At 36.5% G+C, this 22,711-nt stretch overlaps 1 protein-coding gene across 20 annotated transcripts in view, besides 1 other annotated feature; it reads right to left on the reverse strand.

The window, feature by feature from the left end:
* The window catches only part of SOX5 (SRY-box transcription factor 5), a 1,033,147-nt gene that overhangs the window by 520,595 nt on the left and 489,841 nt on the right, over positions 1-22,711 (reverse strand). The window lies entirely within an intron of this gene.
* Positions 19,797-20,091: an enhancer, noted in NCBI's record as "tiled region #12792; HepG2 Activating DNase unmatched - State 5:Enh, and K562 Activating DNase matched - State 8:EnhW". NCBI's record gives its function as "activates a minimal TATA promoter and a strong SV40 promoter by Sharpr-MPRA in HepG2 and K562 cells {active_cell/tissue: HepG2 | K562}" and the evidence as "EXISTENCE:reporter gene assay evidence [ECO:0000049][PMID:27701403]".

The following is a 22,711-nucleotide window of genomic DNA, read 5'->3' on the forward strand; positions in this document are numbered from 1 at the left end:
AAAAAAAAGTGAAAGGGAAAAGAAAAGGGGAGTGGATAAGTGACTGTATATGATCATTACAAACGTCTTTGAGGTTTCTTAAAATGTGGATTTTATAAGGTCCAGATTAAATTATTTTCTCTCAAGGTAGAAAAATCACCAGTCATATGGTTTCAAGATTTTTAAAAAATGCTAGGTTTTTCATTTTTTTGTACACATAAACAGGTGTATAATTTCTTCAATCCTGTTGACTAGACATACATTACTCAGAGGATCATAAGCTTCGTCAGCAAACACGGTGAGTGTATACCTGTTCATGGTGACTGGGCTAGCCATTTCAGTGAAATAAATGTGAGGGTCTGTTTATATTTTACTTTGATTACTTAAAAAAACTACGATAGGCAAAGAATACTTAGAGTAATAACAAAACCTCTGTAACAACAAAAGATCCACAAAATTGAATCTGAGAAGTAGTAATAATTAGATTATTTTCTATGAAAAGGTCATCCTTTTAAACAATTTTGACAGAAAATAGGTAACTATCCCAAAAGAGGTAATGTCTAGTATACAGAGAGGTACAGTTCTTTAAAGTTATGTATGCATGCCTGCTCAGCAACATACCAGAAATTCACTGAGCTTCAGTAAGCTCATCTATATGGTGACAACAGTGCTACCTTTTATGATTGTTATGAGGTAAGAAATATAAGAAATATAAACTGTCTAGCAAGTATATAGTTGTTCAATAAATGAAGCCATTCTTCTTCTTCTTATTATTATTATTATTTGGAGAGGTCTCCTTCTAGGCTAAATCCCTAGATGTAAAATTTACTCATGTGAATATTCAAATATACATCTAATCTTTCTACCAGAATAATTTTTCTCCTTAATTACATGATCCTCTCTCTTTTTTTGTCATAAATTCCATCTCATCCACTAGGTATTCTCCATAGCCAAAAACATACTAATTTTCTCCACCCAAACTATAATGTTCTTTAGGATAAGTTACCAAACTTGACAGAGAGATGGAAAGCCTGAAGAGGCCAATGAGCATAGAAGACATTGAAAAGATTATTAAAGATTCACCCTCAACCAAATTCAAGGCACAGGTTGATTTTTTCTTTCACCCAGGTAGTTTTATATTAGGTACTAATAAAACTGACTAGAAAAGAATGTTTTTTTTCTTGTTGAAACAGTTCCAAAATTTTACAATGATGGGAAGACTCAAATTTTTAATAAGACTAACATAATTCTGTTACCAAGAAACAATCGAGATAGTCTAGTACACACACATAAACATAAGCACACACCCATACATGCAAACGTTATATATCAAGTGCACTTAAAAATAAGGAAAGAAAATCATAGCAAGTCAAATATTAGCAAATAGACCTCAGAAGTAAAAATTAAAGAATAATACACCATAATCATATGGAATTCATTCCAAGAACGAAGAGCTAGTTCAATATAAAGATATCTGTTTAAGTAATTTTTTACATTTAAGATTGTAGACTAACAGAAAAAATCCACAAGAAAATTGTTAAAAGTCTTTGAAAAAAGTGCCAAGTGTTCCAGGTTTGTTTAGTATAAGTTAGGAGGAGAAGAAAACTGCCTTCTAAGGGAGATTATTTGTCATAATAGCAGTCAAAACACGTAGTTAGTAGTAAAATAGCCAAATTCTCTTTTGTTAATCCAACTTCCCGTATTTCTAGCTTCATTCTCCCTTTTACCAACAACCACATTACTTGCAAACTAGGACATGTTTACTGTCTCTTCTTAGTAATCTGTTATACACTGTTCAACTCATTGCAAATTGCTTCAGCTCCTACCTTTTTACAGAAGCTCTTTTCTCAAAGATTATCAATATCCATTTAATTTCCAAGTCCAGTGGCCTGTTCTCCGGCCTCATCTTATTTAACCTCTCCTTAGCATTTAAAACTGTCACATACAATCCTCTTAGCTCTTCTCTCTAGGCTATCTTCAATAGAGCCTTACTTGACGTTCCTTCCGCATCTTTGCTTGGCCATTTTCAGTCCCTTTACTGGCTCTTCTTCATTTACCTGCTCCTTAAACACAGGAGATCCCAGAAATCTACCATTTGGCCCCTTGTTTCATGCCCTACCCAGAGAATAGGAATCAAACTTAAACAGGAATGAGAGAATCAAGACACTATTAATGAAACAGAGTAAATGAAATACTGCATTAAATGCAAAATTTTCACCTGACTTCTAACTTCTCAGGTCACAGAATAAGTGAAATAAATTTTTAAGAAATATTGCAACATGAATGAGCTCTGCCTATATTACCTTTAAAATATTTAATACTCTCTTGTTAATTTTAATAATAGTTTTTAATATTAAACTTAGTGAATGTCTTTCTTGCTATTGCTGTTACTCAATATTCTTAAATATGTTATTGACATTGATAGTTAAATTACCAATTTAAACTCAAAATATGAGTTTTCTAATTTTGCATTACTTGATTTTTAACCCTTTCACAACCTAATTAATTTGAAAGCAGTTAGTGTTGTCAGAATTATTAGGATTTATCTGTACATAATGTACCTGAATTGAGTGTAATAGAATTCAGCACTCATTTATTGAATTCCAGTGACATGTGAAATGTTTTTTATGGTCATCTTTTAATACATAAACTTCAACCAGATGCTACATAAATGAAACTGGCTAACTGGCTTCAAGTAACAATTTTAAGGAAGTGCTGATGTTTTAATGATTTTAACCCTGAAATCCCATTCTTTCACTAATTTGTAACCAATAATACATTCAAACAAAAATCTGAGAAAGAGAATTACAGAGTTGTTTTCAAATTCCTTATTACAAGTTCAGCCATCAATCTCCCAATAAAATCTCCTCAGTCAACTTAGATCATCTTTCCCCATTGTCCCATCTTATAACTATTGTTAGATCATTTTCTGCTGCTATGTTCTCCTTGTCTGCCTTTGTAAAACTTAGAGATGACTTTTCCACATTATTTGCAAATAAAAACTTTTTCCACCCTTTGCTTCTTTTTTTCTTTACTTTGATATGTGGTATCCTGTAATGTTACACCTTTCCAGTAACTTTTGAAGCCAATGCTACTGCACGCCCCCCCCCTTTTTTTTTTTTGAGATGGAGTCTCACTCTGTTGCCCAGGCTGGATTCTTCTGCCTCAGCCTCCCGAGTAGCTGGGATTACAGGGGCCCACCACCACACTTGGCCAATTTTTTTATACTGTTAGTAGAGACGGGGTTTCACCATGTTGGCCAGCCTGGTCTCGAACTCCCGACCTCAGGTGATCTGCCCGCCTCGGGCTCCCAAAGTGCTGTGATTATAGGCATGAGCTACCGCGCCTGGCCCCGTACTCTCTCTTATATCATACACATATCTCTCTTAAAGAAAATGTAAAATTCAAAAACTCAAACCTAGACAATATAAAATGGGCACTGTTTACTCTATAAAGAAGAGATCCTTAACTTTGCCCAAAAAAATTTCCTACCAAATCCCTATAAATAGTGATTTTATCTACTGCATGAAAAGAGTAAGTGAATTAAATAACATACATTTATACTCAATTTTCCCAAAGTCATTTCATTGTTTGCAAAGTGGGCTGCAACTTACTCTCTTCAAATTGCTGCACCTCATGTCTTTCTCTTTATTGACTTGACATTGAGTTTCCTTAAAGAATTTCCATAAATTCTATATTTCATATTTAATAGCTTTCATTGAGTGTTATTAGATGGCAAACTTTGTACTAGGTACTTTATGTATCTTATCTCCAATCTTTATAGCAACCTAACATAGCAGGTATGATTACTGCTTTTGTAAGAATAAGGAAACTGATATGCAGGGAGGATAAGTGACTTGCGCAAAGCCTTAGAGCAGTGAAGTAATGAAACAGAGATTCTCCCCCAAGCTCTATGGCTCTGAGGCCTGTGTTCTTTCCATGGCACTACAAAATCACTGTCATTGTGCGTCAAGAAAAATCGAAAGATGCAACTCTTTACTGTATTTGAAAACAAGACATTAAAGAACACAGACTTCTTGACTCCAGCTAGGGAATTTGTTCTTCTAGAGCAGCGGATATCAAACTTCTTTAAAGCTGTCAAAATATTTCTTCCATAGAAATCTTAACGAGGACACAATATATAAGAGCGATTAAAGTAAAAGAGTTATGTCCCTTCTCCTCCCTCCCCTTCACTAACTGGCCCCAGGGTTACTGCCAAAGAACCTACATCTTCCTCAGAGAACAGTTTGAAAACAATTGTGCTGGACTATTTTCTACTTATCACTAAAGATCTAGCTACTAAAAATCATAATCTTACCATAGATAGAGTCTCAACACGCCCACTTGGGAGTTCCTTGGGCACTACACATGGGCATGGCTTTCTTCTTTGTTTAGAATGCTACCCAGGACATGGGTCACACACACAACAAATGGTCAATGATGGTAACAACAATAATTTTTAAAATAATGAATAGATAAATCTCCCTGACACAGGCATGGTTTCCTTTTCCTGTGCCAATTGCTCTGTCTGTGCCAACTCTAACACACACCCCTTCCAGGAATGGCACCCAGCCATCCTGGCAACCAGAATTAGAGCAAAGAAAATATGAAATTTCTCTTCAAAACATAAGTGGAAAGATGAATGCAAAGCCAAGCAAAAAGTACCCAGATTCAACATGCACATTATTAAATGTCACTTCGTCTTAAGACGTTCTATGAAAGTCAAGTGAACACGGGCATGTATAAATTGGGGGAGAAGAGGTATAACCTTGTTTAAAAGTATCAGCAAATAATGTAAATCTAGAATAAAACAGAAGTCACCAGTTACAACTGTTATTTGTGGGGAGTGAGGCGCGTGGAAACTGAGCAAATGAGGAATGGGAATGGGGGAGAGATTTTTTCCTGTACACATTTTTTATACTTTTGAAATTCTGAACCTTGTGAGTCTATTCAAAAAAGCAACTTAACCAAAATTTTCAAAAAAAAATGAGGATAAAAAGATAGCTTTTATTTTCAATAAAATGGTTCTGGACATCTTAACATAAAAATGTACTCTTTTAGTTTGGGAAAAAAGCCATCAGCAGGAGAACGTTTCATCCCAAGGATCATTTAGACTTAGGCCAAGCAGGCCCATCAGTCAGGAATGCTGCTGCTTCTACTTCCAAAAACTCCTTCAAGGAAGAGGGACCTACTGATTCATGCCAGTGACTCATGCCCTGATTATCAAAGAGGGATACAATATGGCAGGGGTCCCTCACAGTCCTTATAACTGATAGAAGTCTGTAATAATAAGCTACCGGTCAACAGTCTATAGGACATGGCAAAAAAGAAGTCAATGTCATACCTCAAATTAAAAATCAGAAAGGAAAGTTCACAGCTCCCTCTTTGTCACAACGAAGTTTCAAACATCAATCTCTGCCACCCTGAGTGGTATAGACCCTCTTTTCTGCATCGTGTTTTCCCCCTATGAACCAGGAACAACATGTTGGTTGACCAATAGGTCTTGCTCTGTACATTTAAACACCAAAAGGGTTCTTAGAATCATCAAAGACTGATAAAAATGAAAAGACATAAGATTCTTTCAAAATAAATGGGTGATTCAGCCAAATCATTATTTCCCTTCATCTTGTCTAACAATTAGTTGCAAAGAATATTTTAAACAATGAAAAGAAAAAAAAGTACAATGACATTTTAAACAATGAAAAGAAAAACTAGTACAATGACACCTAGGAGTTACCATGGTTTATTTAACAGAGTGAAAGGTAAAACCATCTTAGTAAATGTCATGTTCCTGTTAGTGTTCAAAGGTGGCTGACCCTCCATGAAGCCTACATTACTTATCAATTAACAAACAGCTCAGACTGGCCTCTGGGAAATAGAGCCCACAGCACTGTGACTTGGGAAAAGGGGATAGCATTGAACACTCTCAATCTTTAACCATGTCTAGGGTCACATGTGCCACACCTTTTTTAAACATCGTTGTGCCATGACCTCCTTTACCTAGGAGGGTTAAACACTGAATTCAAGTACTAGTGTATGAGCCATCACCAAAACTATTTGTCATTAAAAAAATACACACCAGTTAGGTGCCTAATTGTGCATACTGTTGAAAGAAGTGCTTTTAAATGATCAGTGACTTGTTCCCCACCTTTGAAAAGTCCAAGACCGAGAGACCCACCATGTAGATCCACACTTACACAACACACAGGAAGCCAAAGAGATGAATGATGTTTTGACATGAAATGCTAACTCCTGATGGATATAAACCCATCACAAAATAATTTCAACTCTATTTAATCCTGTAGTTGAAATTTGAGGTTACTTGAAGTTTTTAAAAAGTCAGACTATAGTTTTCAAACATATTAATGCTTAAAATTACAAAATTAATATTGGATTTTTAAAAGACAGATGGATATCCATGGTTGCTCTATTTCTCCATCATGCCACCTCCTTAATCTTTCCAAAGTAATATTCAGAAACTTCGATTCAATTCAATCCCATGGCTTTGGGGAGGTGAGGTGCGTATTAAAATGACTCATCATTCTGTTGCTTGCACAAACTTCTATGGGCCTCTTATACTTTACAGAAGGGGGTCAGATATTATATCAAAAATTCAGGCCGGGCGCGGTGGCTCACGCCTGTAATCCCAGCACTTTGGGAGGCCGAGGCGGGCGGATCACGAGGTCAGGAGATCGAGACCATCCCGGCTAAAACGGTGAAACCCCGTCTCTACTAAAAATACAAAAAATTAGCCGGGCGTAGTGGCGGGCGCCTGTAGTCCCAGCTACTTGGAAGGCTGAGGCAGGAGAATGGCGTGAACCCGGGAGGCGGAGCTTGCAGTGAGCCGAGATCCCGCCACTGCACTCCAGCCTGGGCGACAGAGCGAGACTCCGTCTCAAAAAAAAAAAAAAAAAAATTCAACAAAAAAAAAGAAAGTAAGTAAGTAAATGGCCTCTCTGTTCATGTTACAAATCTTCTATAGTTAGATAACTTAAGGCCTTATTCAGAGGGAGATGTACTCCAAAAAGAGGTGCATTTTAATCTGCGTATCCTAGTTTCAAATAGATAAAAGAAGGAAAAAACCTAGCTACATGGACATGAGGATGGTCTGAAGACAAAGAAAATTAAGGGAGAGAAGACACAAAGACTCATATAAAGAAGGAATTGATAAAAAACCTATACTCAAAGCAAATGTAAACTAAAACTATTAAGAAAAAAGAAGGAGCAAAATAATTTTAAGGGTAATTACATTGTGAACAACATAACTGAAGCACAGCAAACATTGTTTTGGATTTATATTTTTCCTATGAAGAAACTCAGGCATTTCTCCCCCTCTTTACATGCTAGCAAGTTAATATTATCAACACTTTTGTGTTATATAAAAATTTTAAACTATTTTAAATGAAAGGTGCATGACTTAGTCTTTTTAAGATTTCTACATGATGTAATCGTTTTGTTTTAAATTTCATCGCAAATGCAAATTGACTCAGGTATGTTTTTATTAGTAGTAACCGATAATATCAAGTAACAAAAATAAGTGGCATCCAAATGACTGTCAAACTTTCTTAATTTTCTTCAATAATACTGTCAACAAAATTAACTTTAAAAAAATTATAACTCCACAACACAGGCAATAATATGTTACCACGTGTAACTATAAATACATTTTTTTTCTTAATTTCATGTTTTCCACCTTTTTGGAAAAAGCATGTCAATAGTTCATTTGTGATTTGAGGAACTGTAAGATGACACTCACTGGAATGGCATAATGTAGCCAATAGCAGAAATAAGTCTGCTGGTGTAAAATCTTGAAATTAACAGCAACGTTAATTTCTCCACAGTCTTTAAATTTTTTGCGAAGAGAAAAATACACAAAATAATCCTTGTATTTTCTTCTGTGTTTCAAAATGTGCCATAAAGTAAATCCTTTGATCAGAATCTGCATATTATGACTGCCATCCTTTTGCAGCTCTGCAAAGCAAGGTAAGATAGCTCAGCATAGCTTTTATCTGCAAGGATCCCCTGAGGCAGTTTCTGTAAAAGGGTTAATGACAGATGTTTCCATTAAATCTGACCTACCTCTTAATTTTGCCATTGCCTGATAATATCCTGGCTTTGTGCTTATTTGCATGGGCAAATGGAGTCACTCCATAACAAGTAACACATCGTCCTCACTGAAACAAAAGGTCAATTCATTTTAAACCGATGTGCACAATATTTTTTGTAGTTGTAGTTTAAAAAAAAAATTCTCTTTCACACAATGCTACTATTTACAATGAATTAAAAGCTCTGTTTTCTGAAACCCTGGACACAATGTACATCTGCAGGCAGAGACCAGTACTACCAATAGAAATCAATACATCCCCTCGTAGGTAACCCACTAGAAAAATCACTTCTGTCTCTAGGATGCCCCACTTGTTTTTATACTAAATACAACAGGACACAGTAAATTTTCTTTGCTGGTAAGTTAGCTGAGAACTTCAAAATGCTAGCAGCACTTTCTTGTTTATTGAGTGTTATTACTTTTGCAAAGAAAAAAATTCTGTAAGTATAGAGGAAATAGTTATTGTCTCAGGTTGGTTAAAAGATACAGGCTTTTTAGCCTTTAGGATACCAGTCTAAAAGCTACAGTTTAGAAGTAGTCTTTTTACTCTAGGTAAAAAGAGTAAATGATCCTGAACCTTCATCAGGTTGCTGTAATAAGCCTGTTAGTAAGTATATAAATAAATAAATAAATATAGTTCATGCACAAGGTCCCATTGTACATATGTAGTTACATACAAGGTTCCATTCCAGCTGCTGCTTCTGGTGGCAGGACCAAATAAGGTGAAAACTGATGTCAAGGGGCCTTTCCATGATTCCTATGAAAAGATATCTCAAATATGTGCTTCCTGGAATTGTGAATAGTCTATAGCCAAGACTAAAGAAACACTGCATTAATCTAGCTATGCTATTTCATTTTATTATAACATTTCAGGGGTTTAAAATTATCACTTGCTAGAGAAATACTCTCTACATAATTATATACAGTGCTTTACACATAGATACACATATACTGTATGCATATTACATTTTATGTTCATCATTAGAGTCTGATCTCTAAGAGATTTCAATATTGAAATTCTGGCATTAAATTTCACCTTACTCTGAAAACGGCACTCCTGTGTTTTTGATAGAAAATCCATATTCACAGCACTCTCATCGCACCAAAATCTTTATCTGAAAAGGAAATAGGCTAGATTCATGCTTAGAAGAGTGGTACCTGCTAAATAGCCAATTTCTTCATTTGAGATAAATAAACCCCACACTTGGCGCTTGAGTATTTCAAGCCATTGAAACAATTTGGAAAACTCTACTTGCCTAGTCCAAGGTTTGGTTTTTTTAATGAATTTGCAAAGAAAATTCTATTCTCACCATGCTGCCTCAACTTTGTCTGAAAATGAGGTAGATGAGGAAGGAACAGTAAGTGACTCCCTGCAACAAGCCCAGGAAGGACTCTTCTCAGCAGGTGTGTGTGTGTGATGGGGAATGGCATGTTGCCCCCTCCCATAGGAAGCCCATATCTGACCCCCTGCCCCAACCTCAAACCTGGATTCACTCCAAGTTTGAGAGTCTACAAGTCTCCAGGGAAGGGAATCACATCTCCTCTGCCAGTTCCTGGTGGATAGTCATTTAAAGTGCAACCCACAATCAAGAGTATAAAAAACAAATGAAACCCAAACATATTTACTGAATACATCGTTAATGGAAGATTCCAGGTACTGTGAAGGATACTGTGGGAGAAAGACATGGTTCCCTTTCTTCACAAATTTATAGCTTCCTTATTATAAGGAGTTAAACAGTAGTATCAGACAATAAAAATGATATAAAAATGTAAACAATAATAAATTACATGAATGGAATTGTCTATGCTGAGCAGTGAAAGACATTAGGGATTTTAATCAGGTGATGCATAGATACATAAGTCCAGTTTTGTGCCTAGAGTAAATCAGCAACTAAAGTGAAATCTCAACAGTGGGTGATTTGTATCATACTTTTATAGTAAGTTGAAATAGTTATAATAAATGACAGCATTTATTGAGCATCTATTGTGTGCCAGAAACTATACACAGCAGTCTATATATTTGTGTCATGTAACCTTCACAATAGCACTATGAAGTAGATACAATTATTATCCCATTTTATGGATAACAAAACTGAGGCTTGAAAAGATTACATACTTCCCCAAGGCCACAGAGCTAGGAAGTGGTGGAGCCAGGAATTGCACCTATGCGCTTGTACTGCACTCTTATACTCTCAACCATGACAACTCTCCTGCAGGTGCATGGGCTTTGGAATCAGACAGAATGGGATAACAGTCCATATTCTTATATACACTCCATATATTTGCTATGTGAGCTTAGGCAAAGTTCTTACATTTTTTAAGTAGAAAAATAATACTATTCTGTTATCAGGGAGATCAGTTGTTTTGTCCTGACTGGCATGTCTCCTGGTAAAAGACCCATCTTTTCCTACGGGAAACAACTAGACCTCCATTCTCAAACAAGAGTTAGGCATAGGACCATACCCTAGCCAAAGAGCACGTCATCTTCTCAGCCTCGAGGATGGGTTCAGGTATGGACCCACTCAAGCCAAACTAATGGGTTCTCTATGCGGGACTTCGATAAAGCTATAAAGAAAGAAACTCTAGCTTTTTAATTTTAGGATATGGATTGGAGCTGCTTGGGCAGAAACCACATGGACAAAGGTTGCTTAAAAATGAAGCTAACACAGAGAAAGGCAAAGAAAGACGAGAGACGATGACAGCAACTGAGCCCTGTGATCTGGTCATGCTTAAAGCTAGGAAGTTCCTGAAATTGCCATTTATTTGAAACAAAAACACCCCCTTCCTTTTTATGATCAAACATATTCAGATTGTGTTTCTGTCACTTATAACCAAAAGAGCCCAGTATCACCTCACAGAAACAATGTGTGGGAAGAGCTCAAGGTAATACCTGCAATTAGTAAGGACCCAGTGAATGTTGGCTGCTTTCCTCCTCCTTTTTTTTTTGTAATTGCTATTGTCAAGTTTCCACACAAAAATTGGGGATCTTTGGATAAAAAAGGACGAAGAGAAGAAATTACCATGTGACAGTTTCCCCATACAAGGCACAAGCAGAGAACAAGGGGACAAATTTTAAGGATCCATAAGTATCCCGTAAGTATTAAGTATTAAGGGACACCAAAAGTCAGCCTCCCTTTCTTCCAAGCTAATCTTAGCAGTCCCAATTAGCTTCTCTGGGCCTTCAGAGGAGCCAGCACACCAAACCATCCATTATTGCCATGTATCCACTTTGTAGTCACAATGTTTGGTCATATCCAATGATTATGGATATGGAGGTCATATCCATAATCCAAATGATTATCCAGGCAGAAATAACATTTAATGAAAACCAAGGCCCTACTTTACTTACCTACTGCTAAAATACCAATGACAACGTTTGCACAAAGTACCAATGATAACGTTTGCACAAAACATAGGGCATCACACAAAAGCTAAGCAATTTGGTTCTGAGAACTTTCTTCCATGTTACCCAAAAGTCTAAAGTCAGTAATTAAGTCCCTAGTCATAACTGAATCACTTAAGGTTTACATGATCACCATATACCTATTGCTTCAATATGACAGAAAAAAAAAAAAAAAAAAACCTTTCTCTTTTCTGTTTCCTCCTTTCAACAGGCCCTATAATGTAAGAAGCAAGAATGGTTCCAGAGGAACTGTTGTGAGCCACTGCATCAATCATAGGAACATTAAAACACTGCTTGCTAGTCATTACTATATGAAGTATTCTCTTGCTCTGTGGAAAATGGTTTCAAATAATTGTGTCTGAATGAGAGTTTTGTTCTTGTTTCATATAGCCATTTGAGAGAGGAAAAAATGTAGAAAAGAAGATAGATTAAAAAAACAATATTAACAAAGTTGCATCAACTAATTGCCATCAAATGGTATCATCATCTTTGTACAGGGTGTACATATTGTAGGCTCATAGGCTTAAGAGGCAGACTGACATCCCAATAAGATAGTTGCCAAAATGATGTACAATAGTAACAAGAAAGGCACAAGAATCTGGCCCACCTAAGCAAAGAAAAGTCTCCTCTCACTTCAAAAATCTATTATTTTTGCCAGGCTGCTCCATTGCAGAGCTAATAAGCATGACTAGAATAAAGCTTAAAATGATTTCTACCTTTATTTCTAACTTCTCTTTCTGGTTTCAGCAAAGTTGATCTTTACCATTGATAGTTTATGGTTTGTGTTAGAGAATGCTATGTGATATAAGGACAATGTAGTTGTTTGCCGAAAAGAAATTCACTGGACTACTGGTCAAATATCAGTAGCTCTAAATGTTTCTGTGTGACAGGGACTGATGAAGGAATATATTACAGTGTCTTAAGCTCAAGCCAACTGAGACTCAGACCATTACTATAGACCGGAGTTCTTCAACTATGCTTCCTCTGTAGGAAAAAGAGCTAGGCAGAAGGGTGGGGCCTCCTGACAGCTTTGTAAAGACGTGGTCCTGAAGTGTTAGAGCTTGCCAGTGGGCCACCCACAGAAAATTCTGCTTATATGTAGCATCATACTAAGTTATAAGAAAATAAGTGAAGGAAGTATCCAGGCTAGCAACTCCTTCAGAGAAGTTCTCAGGCTTAGAAACTGAACAGGGAATTATGAGATGGGATGCTGCCAATCTTTTATGGAGTGGCCCTGGGCAAGTTATTTTGTGTCTCATATTCTTCGGCTACAGACTGTGGTTAACACTGCTACTATTGATAACAAAAACATCCTAACAACAACTCCTGGGAACAATATTGTGAGGATTTGTGTTTGTACAGTGATTTAAGAATGAGGGAAGAAAGGCACAATGTTATACTATTACCAAGTGCTTTATCAACCAGTATATTGCATAATGTGTTATAATGTACCATGTGCCCATGGAAACATGAAATCATTCATAATTCTTAAGTACTGCCAGATGTGCAGCTATAACAAATTTCAGCCCTTTCTGAAGAATTCACCCACACACTCACTTCTCCCACCAATATTTCCACTGGTAACTGTCAGAGTTGAGAAATCATAGAATAGACCCTTATTCACATCTCTGTGGTAATTACATATAGTTTGCTTCATATTTGGGTTGGGAATATGTCTTAATCATAATTTTATAACTAGTGGCTTTCCCTGTTCTGGTACATAATGAGTGCTCAACAAATGTTTATTGAATGAATGAACAGATAGACAACAATCAGACATAGTGATCAAAGAATAAATACACTTCAGTAATGGCACTACATAGATTCAGCAGAGTCTCTAATGCAAATAATATTTAGAGTGGAGGTGTCCAAAGACTGGCTCCTTCCCAGTAAGTCTATATGTTATTTCCTAGTATTAATTCATTTGCCACTTGTCATAAGTTTCTGGAATGTGCAAGTAATCCTATTACAAGAGATGCTTGCCACTTTCAATGAAGGCATCTGGCTTTACTTAAGGATGGCGAATGATTTCATATTTCAATGGTTAGGAACATGGCATATTACAACCTTTACACAGATTGAGGAATCTCTGAATATTATAATATACCTGTCACAGGTGAAGAAATACTCTAAATTTTCAACTAATACACATAAGGCACACGAATATAATGAAATGGGAAAAAACTCTGGACTTGGAATCAGAAGACCTAGCTCTGCCACATACTTGCTCTGTACGTTTAGCCTACTTAATCATTAATATCTCTGGGCCTCTGTTTTCATCTGTAATGACATATATGTCTAATAAAAAATTCATATAACCTAGGTCAATGAGGTAATAAGTCAAATAATGTATACAAAAGTACTTTATAAATAGAAAATGCCACACAGTTTAGAATGACAGCAGGGAATAAAATGGTAGGGAGAGGTCTATGTTGTAAGTAAACTGTAAGATCCTTAAGCTCAGCATCCAGAACTACCATCTTGTAGTTCTTATGCTTAACACGGGACCTAAAAGAATACCAAATGAACCACCAATGCTAGCCTTTGAATTGGAGACACCAACAAGACATATGCATTCAATTCTCTTAGCGGCTCTTCTAAGCTCCCTTGTGAGAAACTCTCCAACACTGGTGCTCTTCAAAGAGTGGCCCTTCCCTAGCTAGCACCATATTTGGCTAGATTCATTTAAAATGCAGGCTCTCAAAACTCATCCAAGGACACTGTAATGCAATACGGCAAATATCCAAGATGACTCTTATGTACACTGGTACAGTAGGTTCTAAATTGACTTTTGAACATCTGGTAACCACGGCACCCGATCAGTTCCATCAGAAAAGGTATGTGCTCATCTATTAAGTTACATATATGTAACTCATATATCAAGGTTTTTACAGTTAACAAACTGTTTTCAAATATATGAAATATAATATGCAGAACAATCAGAAATGATTTAAAAGCTTTAAAGTAGTACAGAAATAAAATACAATATAATTTTTAAATAAAATTGAATCCATAATCAATTTATGTTTGTTTTTTCAAAATGTTATTTTGGTTATTATCTGTTCTCCTTATGAGACTGTGTTCAATATGGTGCTGGAACTTGGTTTTGTTCCCAGCTGTATCCTGATCATAGAAAGGTCCTGTCATGCAGCAGAAGCTCAAAAAATATTTCTTGAACAGAATAATGATCATCTATAAGTGAATATACATGTCTCAGAAGAGGTGTCAGTTCAAAATCTTCCTGCTAATACATAAGGATGGGTTCATGTGACAGAGGTTATAGTTCGGATTATCTTTATCAGAAGCAGGGACACAGGGTACAAACACAGGCTATCAGCCAAAGAAAGTTTATATACATATATTCCCCTTAGATACTAATTTTTAAACCGAGGTTGAAAATGGAAACTGGAAGGCAATATCCTTAATCACCAGATGCTTTTATTCCAAAATAAAATTCAGTTGCATAAAAAGGCTTCCTACTGAAGAATGGCACTGTGCTCCACATTAAGGGGGTGAAAGGGCAGTTTAGGGATGTGCGGATGTGTAAGGTTCAGTAGATATCAGAAGAATGACAATGGGCTGGTAGAGACATTAAGTTCCTGAGTGTGATCTTGGCTATCTCCCATCCCTTGTCCTCCAGTTCTTACCTAATCACTCTGTGCCCTCCTACTCCTCAAAGATGAGGGAAAATTGCAGGAGAGAGGCACATGGAGCTGGATTCCAGAATATGGAACAGAGTAAAGGTTGTGGATACAAATACCTCCAAATGAAATAATCACTAGGGCCGGGTGTGGTGGCTCATGCCATTAATCCCAGCACTTTGGGAGGCCAAGGTGGGTGGATCACGAGGTCAAGACATCGAGAACATCCTGACTAACATGGTGAAACCCTGTCTCTACTAAAAATACGAAAATTAGCCAGGCGTGGTGGTGCACACCTGTAGTCCCAGCTACTCAGGAGTCTGAGGCAAGAGAATCGCTTGAACCCGGGAGGCAGAGGTTGCAGTGAGCTGAGATCACATCACTACACTCCAGCCTGGCGACAGAGCGAGACTCCATCTCAAAAAAAAAAAAAAAAAAAAAGAAAAGAAAAAAGAAAAAGAAAAAGAAATAATCACTAAATGAGTTCAACGCTAAAGTCTATACTTTTAGTTGCTCATTTCTTACAATGACCAATGTCAACCAGGAACTTCTTCACTTTGTGCCCAGGCCCTTAATCTCCATGAAATGCATATCCCTGTCTTATCTCACTTCACTTTGCAAATGACAAAAAGCTCAACACTCACAATTACAAAACCACCAAAATCCTGAATTAATTCTGAGTAGGGTGAGGACACAGTTAACTTCAGCAAATTTACCACTAAGGAGCTTTATTTCTTCAGAAGGGTCCATGCTTGTTCATCTATTGTACTCTTTTATTCTTTCATTTGGGAAATATTTTAATGCCTTAAGGAACTTACAGTCTAAAAAAAAAAGTAGGATTTCAATAATTGTGCATTAAATGAATAAATACAGAACTAACAAATGCACTTGGGATTAAAATGGCTATAATTCTGGAATGAACCAACTATATATAAATTTGACAAAAAGATACAATCTCTTCTCTTAATTATCAGTTGATATAGAAGGCTGATACATGCATACAGGTCTTAAAATTGGTTTATGATGTTGAACTAATGAGTATCAACACCAAAAATCACAATGTGACTCATGTAAGTACTTGTAAGATGTAATAAAATACTAGACTTTAAGATAGTATGAAATGAAAATCAATCAACCATGAAAATGAAAATATTCTATGATAGCTTCCAATGAAGATGTAGTGAAAAACTTAAAATAGCTGTACATGATAGGTGCTCAATAAGTGTTGAAATAATGAGTCCTTGAAAAAATCATCTTTAGAAGCAGACAGAAATAACAATAAAAGAATGAATTTTTAAAATGTGAAAAATTGATATTGTTTGAATATAAATAGGATAAACAGCAAATTTCAGAAGGTAAATAACTAAAGAGTTATTTCAAAGTTTATCTGAAGAGCAGAGTAGAAAAAAAGTTCTACATTTCTGCAGAAATTAATTAACAACTTGCTGAAATAAAACCATATCTGGTATAAAATGTAGCAGTGGTTAAAAGTTCACAATCATTCTTAAAAATGTTTTAAGGAACATAAGCAGGAAAATATTACACCTATTTATAACTAAGCAATGGGGGAAAAGGTGAAGAGTAAGTAAAAGTCCAAACTGGCACAAAGTTGAACCAACAAGATGAACACAGGTGGTCAGAGATTTTATTTCACCTTTCACCTAAAAGTTGCCATCTTTTCGAGAGAACTAACTCTACCAGTGGCTCAATTCTGATTCAAAAGGAAAAGAGTCACTTTCTGAGTCATAACATCACTCTGGTTTTCCTTTCAATCCTCTGTTCCAAGCCCTACCAAATCCCAACCCATTTTAATTTGTCTAAAGGTGGCCTGGCCAGCACCAGAATTTAATGCTTCCATAAATGAACTCTGATTGACATGAAAGATGACTCACTCGCAGAGAAACTTGTATTGCTGCCATTTGGTCAGTTTGGGGTTTGTTTTTAAAATGAATGCCAGTGGAGGCTAAGCAGAAGCCAGGGTGTGTTTTTATTTTATGTCTCAAATAAAAATAAAGAGCTGGGTATGAATAATCAAAGGGGCAGGCGCCTCCCTGGATACTTCTAAACCTTCCAAAAGCAGTCCCAAGGCTCAGCAAAACGTAATATAGTCAAAACAACCATGAACAGCATTAGTACCAAGGGTTTGCCCCAGAAAAATAACATAATTGCCATACAGATTCCCTTGCAGCCCCAAACTCCAGTGCCTTTCAACTTTATATTAAGTTAAAATATCCTTTGTCGGTGGGTAGCAGTCCTAGAAAGAGTATTCCTAGAAGTTAGAATGATTGCAGATAATAGGAAGATGATATCATTATTATAGTAAAACTCTTAAAGCAAAACGAGATTATTCTAATTAGCTATATATGCTTTATCACTCCCTAGAAAATGGTAGGCGATACATGGTCCTCCTTATTATTCTGAGATTGATCAACGATTTTATGGATTATACATACTCTTCACTTCCTTCTCTACAGCTTGCCTTTTCTTTGATAGCTCTCAATACTTAACGCAATCAGTAAACAAAGAAAAAAGGAAGAGAGCGAGAAAGGGGAGTAGGCAGTAGAAAAACAAGAAGGTGAAACTAAGAGTAAAAATAAATAAGCAACATGGATCAATTCTTTAAAAAACTTCAAGGGAGGCCAGGTGCGGCGGCTCACGCCTGTAATCCCAGCACTATGGGAGGCCGAGGCGGGCGGATTGCCTGAGCTCAGGAGTTTGAGAGCAGCCTGGACAACACGGTGAAACCCCGTCTCTACTAAAATACAAAAAATTAGCCAGGCGTGGTGGTGTGCGCCTGTAGTCCCAGCTACTCGGGAGGCTGAGGCAGGAGAATCGCTTGAACCCAGGAGGTGGAGGTTGCAGTGAGCCAAGATTGCGCCACTGCACTCCAGCCTGGGCGACAGAGGGAGACTCCGTCTCAAACAAAACAAAACAAAAAAAACTTAAAGGGTAATAAGTAAAGGGAAATTAGCAGATTAAATGAGGCTTCTGTAAAATTTATGGATTTTAGTCGTCAATGTGTCCTAGAAAAAGAATTAGAGATTCGAGGCCAGTATACACAGCATAGTTGGAAATACTGATAACATTGTTCACAAAAATTTGGAACCCTGAGCCAAAAGAAATCTGAAACCTTTGGTTTTAATATGGAATAAAGAGCAATGTAAAGCATTTTTGGGAAAAAAAGAATTTTAGGAAAGAAACACCTATATCATGTTATATTTGGAAGTAATTAGCTCTATAGTATATACTGTGATGATAAATAAAAGAGATTATCTTAGAAAACTTGTGATGTTATAGAAGCCTTCATTTGCATATGGTCTGACTCAAGTTAAATGCCACTGCCCAGCTGCAGAATGGAAGTTATTCATTTTTAAGATCTCCTATAGCTGATGTACTCATCTCCTCAGCAAAACAACTCTTAAGGTATCTTTATTTTTAGAAAGGTCAAAGTCGTATGTGTGTGTGTGTGTGTGTGTGTGTATATATATATATATATATATATATATATATATATATATATATACACACACACACATTAGTTCCTAGTTTATATCCAAGATAAATAGGTATTACTATCACCACTATATACATAAGGCAAAAAAGATGCAGAAGGGCTGGACTTCAAGGACCCTAAAAGTGCCCTGAAATAGTCTAATGTGGAATACCTTGTCCTGTCACCCAGAGTTGGAGCCTCAAATACAGGAACTTATTTTTATATAGTCCAAGGAGTTAGCATAGCCCCCAGAAACTTAGCAGGAATTTGGGAAAAAAAAAAAAAGTTGAAAATTAAGCTCAGCAATTCAGAAATATCTCAGGGACTAGGTTGCTTGCATAATCAGAAAATAATATTTTGCATTGTCAAATGAAACTCCAGACTTAGGGCCTTAAAAAAAAATAGACAAAGTTTTCCTGGAGAAGTAAACTAACTGTAGAAATGTTTTTTAGCACTTTAAGTGACAATGATTTGTGAGGTGTTTTGAATTTTATGGTTTTAAATCAGCATGGAAACTTAATAGAGCACGCTTTCTATTTAGAAGCTCTACCTCAGAAATAGGTATGCATCTTTTTCTCCACACCTCAAGTTCATGGTTTTACACCATGTACATCAAACTAAAGTTTCACCATCATGCTGGCCCAGTATTGTAAAAGAAATAGCTTTTCTTAATCTAAAATTAGAGTGTAATAACTGCATAGCAAAGCAACTGTGTAATTAAAATAGTCATATAATTTTAAAGATATATCATTATAAAAATTATTATGAGAAGAACAGACTTCAGCATTACAAGTGGAGAACCAATATCGGAAAGAGTCTCCCAAAATGACATAGCAGTGATTACACAGTGACAGATCAGTGTATCTGCACAGGGAAAATCCCCTAGTTAGAGATCACAGCAGGATCCCATCCATCATATTACACATTAGTTCAGAGAACTAAAACTCTTGAAGCATTTTTGGCAGCAGGGAGAACTTCTAGCATCCTAATGCTTTTACAAGGCTGGATTTTTCTTTTCTCCCCAATGTGCTTCAAGATTTCATAACACGAGAGACATAGGAGCAAAAGTTAAAATGCTTTAATGGTCCCCATAGGCTATTTAAATAAACACTGTGATTGCAATTTAGACAATCTGGAGTCCATTCAATATTAAATCCCCACCCCAATCTACAGCTACTACACAAATGGGGAATTCATGGTATACTCCACATAGCCATTTACTACTGCACCTATTGCTTCTTGACAATCATGGGGAGGAGCTAGCCAGGCCTAACATTACACCAGTTAAATCTGTCAACAACCGGGGAGAGCGCTCTGCTGAGCAAACATACTGATCCCTCTCACACAGCCCGTCTTTGTCCTGAGTTTGCCGCAACAACACTAATCTTCTCATACTATCTTCAGCAGTGCAAGCAGAAACTTCTCCTGCGACCAGCTGTAACAAAAGATGCCTTTCTTTATTTTCACACACTACATGTATATATTTATGCTGTCCCTTCCGCTCCCTCCCCCTCCATTTCCACCCCTTCCTACAGACCCAATTCTAAATAAAGCTTGATTGGAATAAATCATAAGTGATGTTTCATCTCAGAAAAATACAGAAAGAAAGAGGCAACAGGACTGATCAGGCCCTTTGATCACACCCTAGTAAAAATAATGCTCCATAATGGACAGTTTTGTTTGTGCCAGGGAAAAGAGCAGGTCCCAGAACTAGGTGGGCAATACATATCCTAAAATATGGTGTGCCAAACTGAAACAATGGGGGTGGTGAAATACATATAACCACTGAATGTTCCTCCAACTACTTTCAGACCTCAGGAAATTCAAGGAATCATGGTGCCCTTTTTCATCTTTATTTATTGTTTTTTAAAAAAAAAAACTACTGTAAAGGACTGATATTTTAACCATGCCATTAGAAAAATAGTATTATCATTAGTTGAGACTTTTTTCAGTTATAAAAATGTAATATGGTATTTATGTTTAGGGAAGAGAACAAACATTTTTAGACATAATTTGTATTCAGTAAAATAAAAGAATCTTAAGTGTACAGCTCAAACAATTTTTACCTGCATATCCGTTTATGTAATCATCCTCGGATTGAGATACAGCCTATTTCTGTCATGCCAGATGGTTTATGCATGCCCTTCCAGTCAATTATCCACCAGGGGTAACCTCCATAGATTAATTTTGCCTAGAACAAAACTAGGCTAGTTTTGCCTAATCACCAAAGGTTAGTTTTGTCTGGAACAAATACGTTTGAACCTTATATGCCAAACATTATGCTGGAAATTTTCTGTACATTATCTTATTTTAAACTCACTTAGTCCTGAATACAATAGAAGACTGGCGTTTCTGTCCCAAGTTTGCCAGACAAAGGATAAGTAACTTGCTCAACATAAAGCTGCATGTAAAATTCTGCATTTATTATACTTAAATAATTAGTTATGCTATATTTATACCATGTAGACCATTAAATATGACCCCAATTAATGGCTTAAAAATTAAATGCTCACAAAATAACAGTGTTAATAACAATATTAACCCCATTCTATCTGGCAGGTACTGGGCAAAATGCTTAACTGCATTGCCTAATTTAATTCCCACATGAACCATGTAAGGCAGCTATTGCTATATCAATTAGGCAGATGGCTCAAGAAGGTGAAAAGATGTGCCCACATTTAAACAAGTGGAATCAAGCCTTGTTTTTTATTTTTATTTTTATTATTTTATTTTTGAGACGGAGTCTCACTCTGTTGCCCAAGCTGGAGTGCAGTGGCGCGATCTCGGCTCACTGCAAGCTCTGCCTCCCAGGTTCACGCCATTCTTCTGCCTCAGCCTCCTGAGTAGCTGGGATACAGGCACCCGCCACCACGCCCGGCTAATTTTTCATAGTTTTTAGTAGAGACGGGGTTTTACCATGTTAGCCAGGATGGTCTCGATCTCCTGACCTCGTGATCCACCTGCCTCTGCCTCCCAAAGTGCTGGGATTACAGGCATGAGCCACTGCCCGGCTCAAGCCTTGTTTTTTAATCCATAGTACTTAATTCATAACAGGTGGTCAATAAATACGTGGCAAATCACAGAATTAAAGAATGACGAAAAATGCTTGAGGAGGGGTAGATTATGTTTTGAAAATGCTAGGCAAAGTTGTTTATCACTTCCATGATAGCATCTGCAGAAACAAAATTATAAAAATTGAAAGTTAGATGGAATCTTAGACATTAGTTGATCCCTTTTCCTCATTTTAAAGATGAGTAAACCGAAGCACAAAGTAACCTGTTCAAGGGAACATAGCCAGATAATGTTGAAACTTGGACTGGAATTCAGGTTTCCCAATTCTCATTCAAGTGTTAGCTATGTTCTATTTCTATGGTTCTGAATCAAACATACTGCATGGGTTCTAAATAAGTTTGCAATTGAATTTGATAAGTTTATCAACACTTCAAATAGCTGTGACAACTATTCTGTAATGTGTTAAAAGGAGAAGGGGAAAAAAGAAGAAATATAGAGCAAAGTTTCTTTCCTTGAGATGCGTGGATATTTCATTGGCAAGATAAGAATTAACCTTATGAGACAGTGAATATTATTAAAATGTGTGCTCCTAAAAGAAATAAAAACAGATTGTCATATAAAAGATTGTATGATAATTTATATCATTAAATATAATCAACTACCACAATTTATGGAACAGATAACACCTGCAATGAAAGTCAGAAAGGGATGAGATCAGTGTTGGCAGGAAATATGAAGAAACTTGAGACCTGTTTAGAAGTCATAATAAGCTCACAGATTTGAGAAATCATCCACTGCAATTGCTAGTTTTAGACAGGAGGAAGTGTGTCCTGGGGGATGACGGCTCTTGCCCAAGGCCCTAAAGCTCTTTGATAGCAGCAATGTGGCCATAACTACTTACTTCCAGTCCATGGTTCTGTCCATTAGCACCATTTTGTCAACTTCTCCAGTAGACATTAATGGAAAAAAACCTACTCCTCACCTCAAAGAGTAAAATAAATTAAAACATTAATAAAGTGTCTCACATGCCTTAAAAATTAGCTATAAAAATATCACTTCATGGTATAATGATTGCATTG

Source organism: Homo sapiens, chromosome 12, assembly GCF_000001405.40.
Source record: "Homo sapiens chromosome 12, GRCh38.p14 Primary Assembly".
Lineage (NCBI taxonomy): Eukaryota > Metazoa > Chordata > Mammalia > Primates > Hominidae > Homo > Homo sapiens.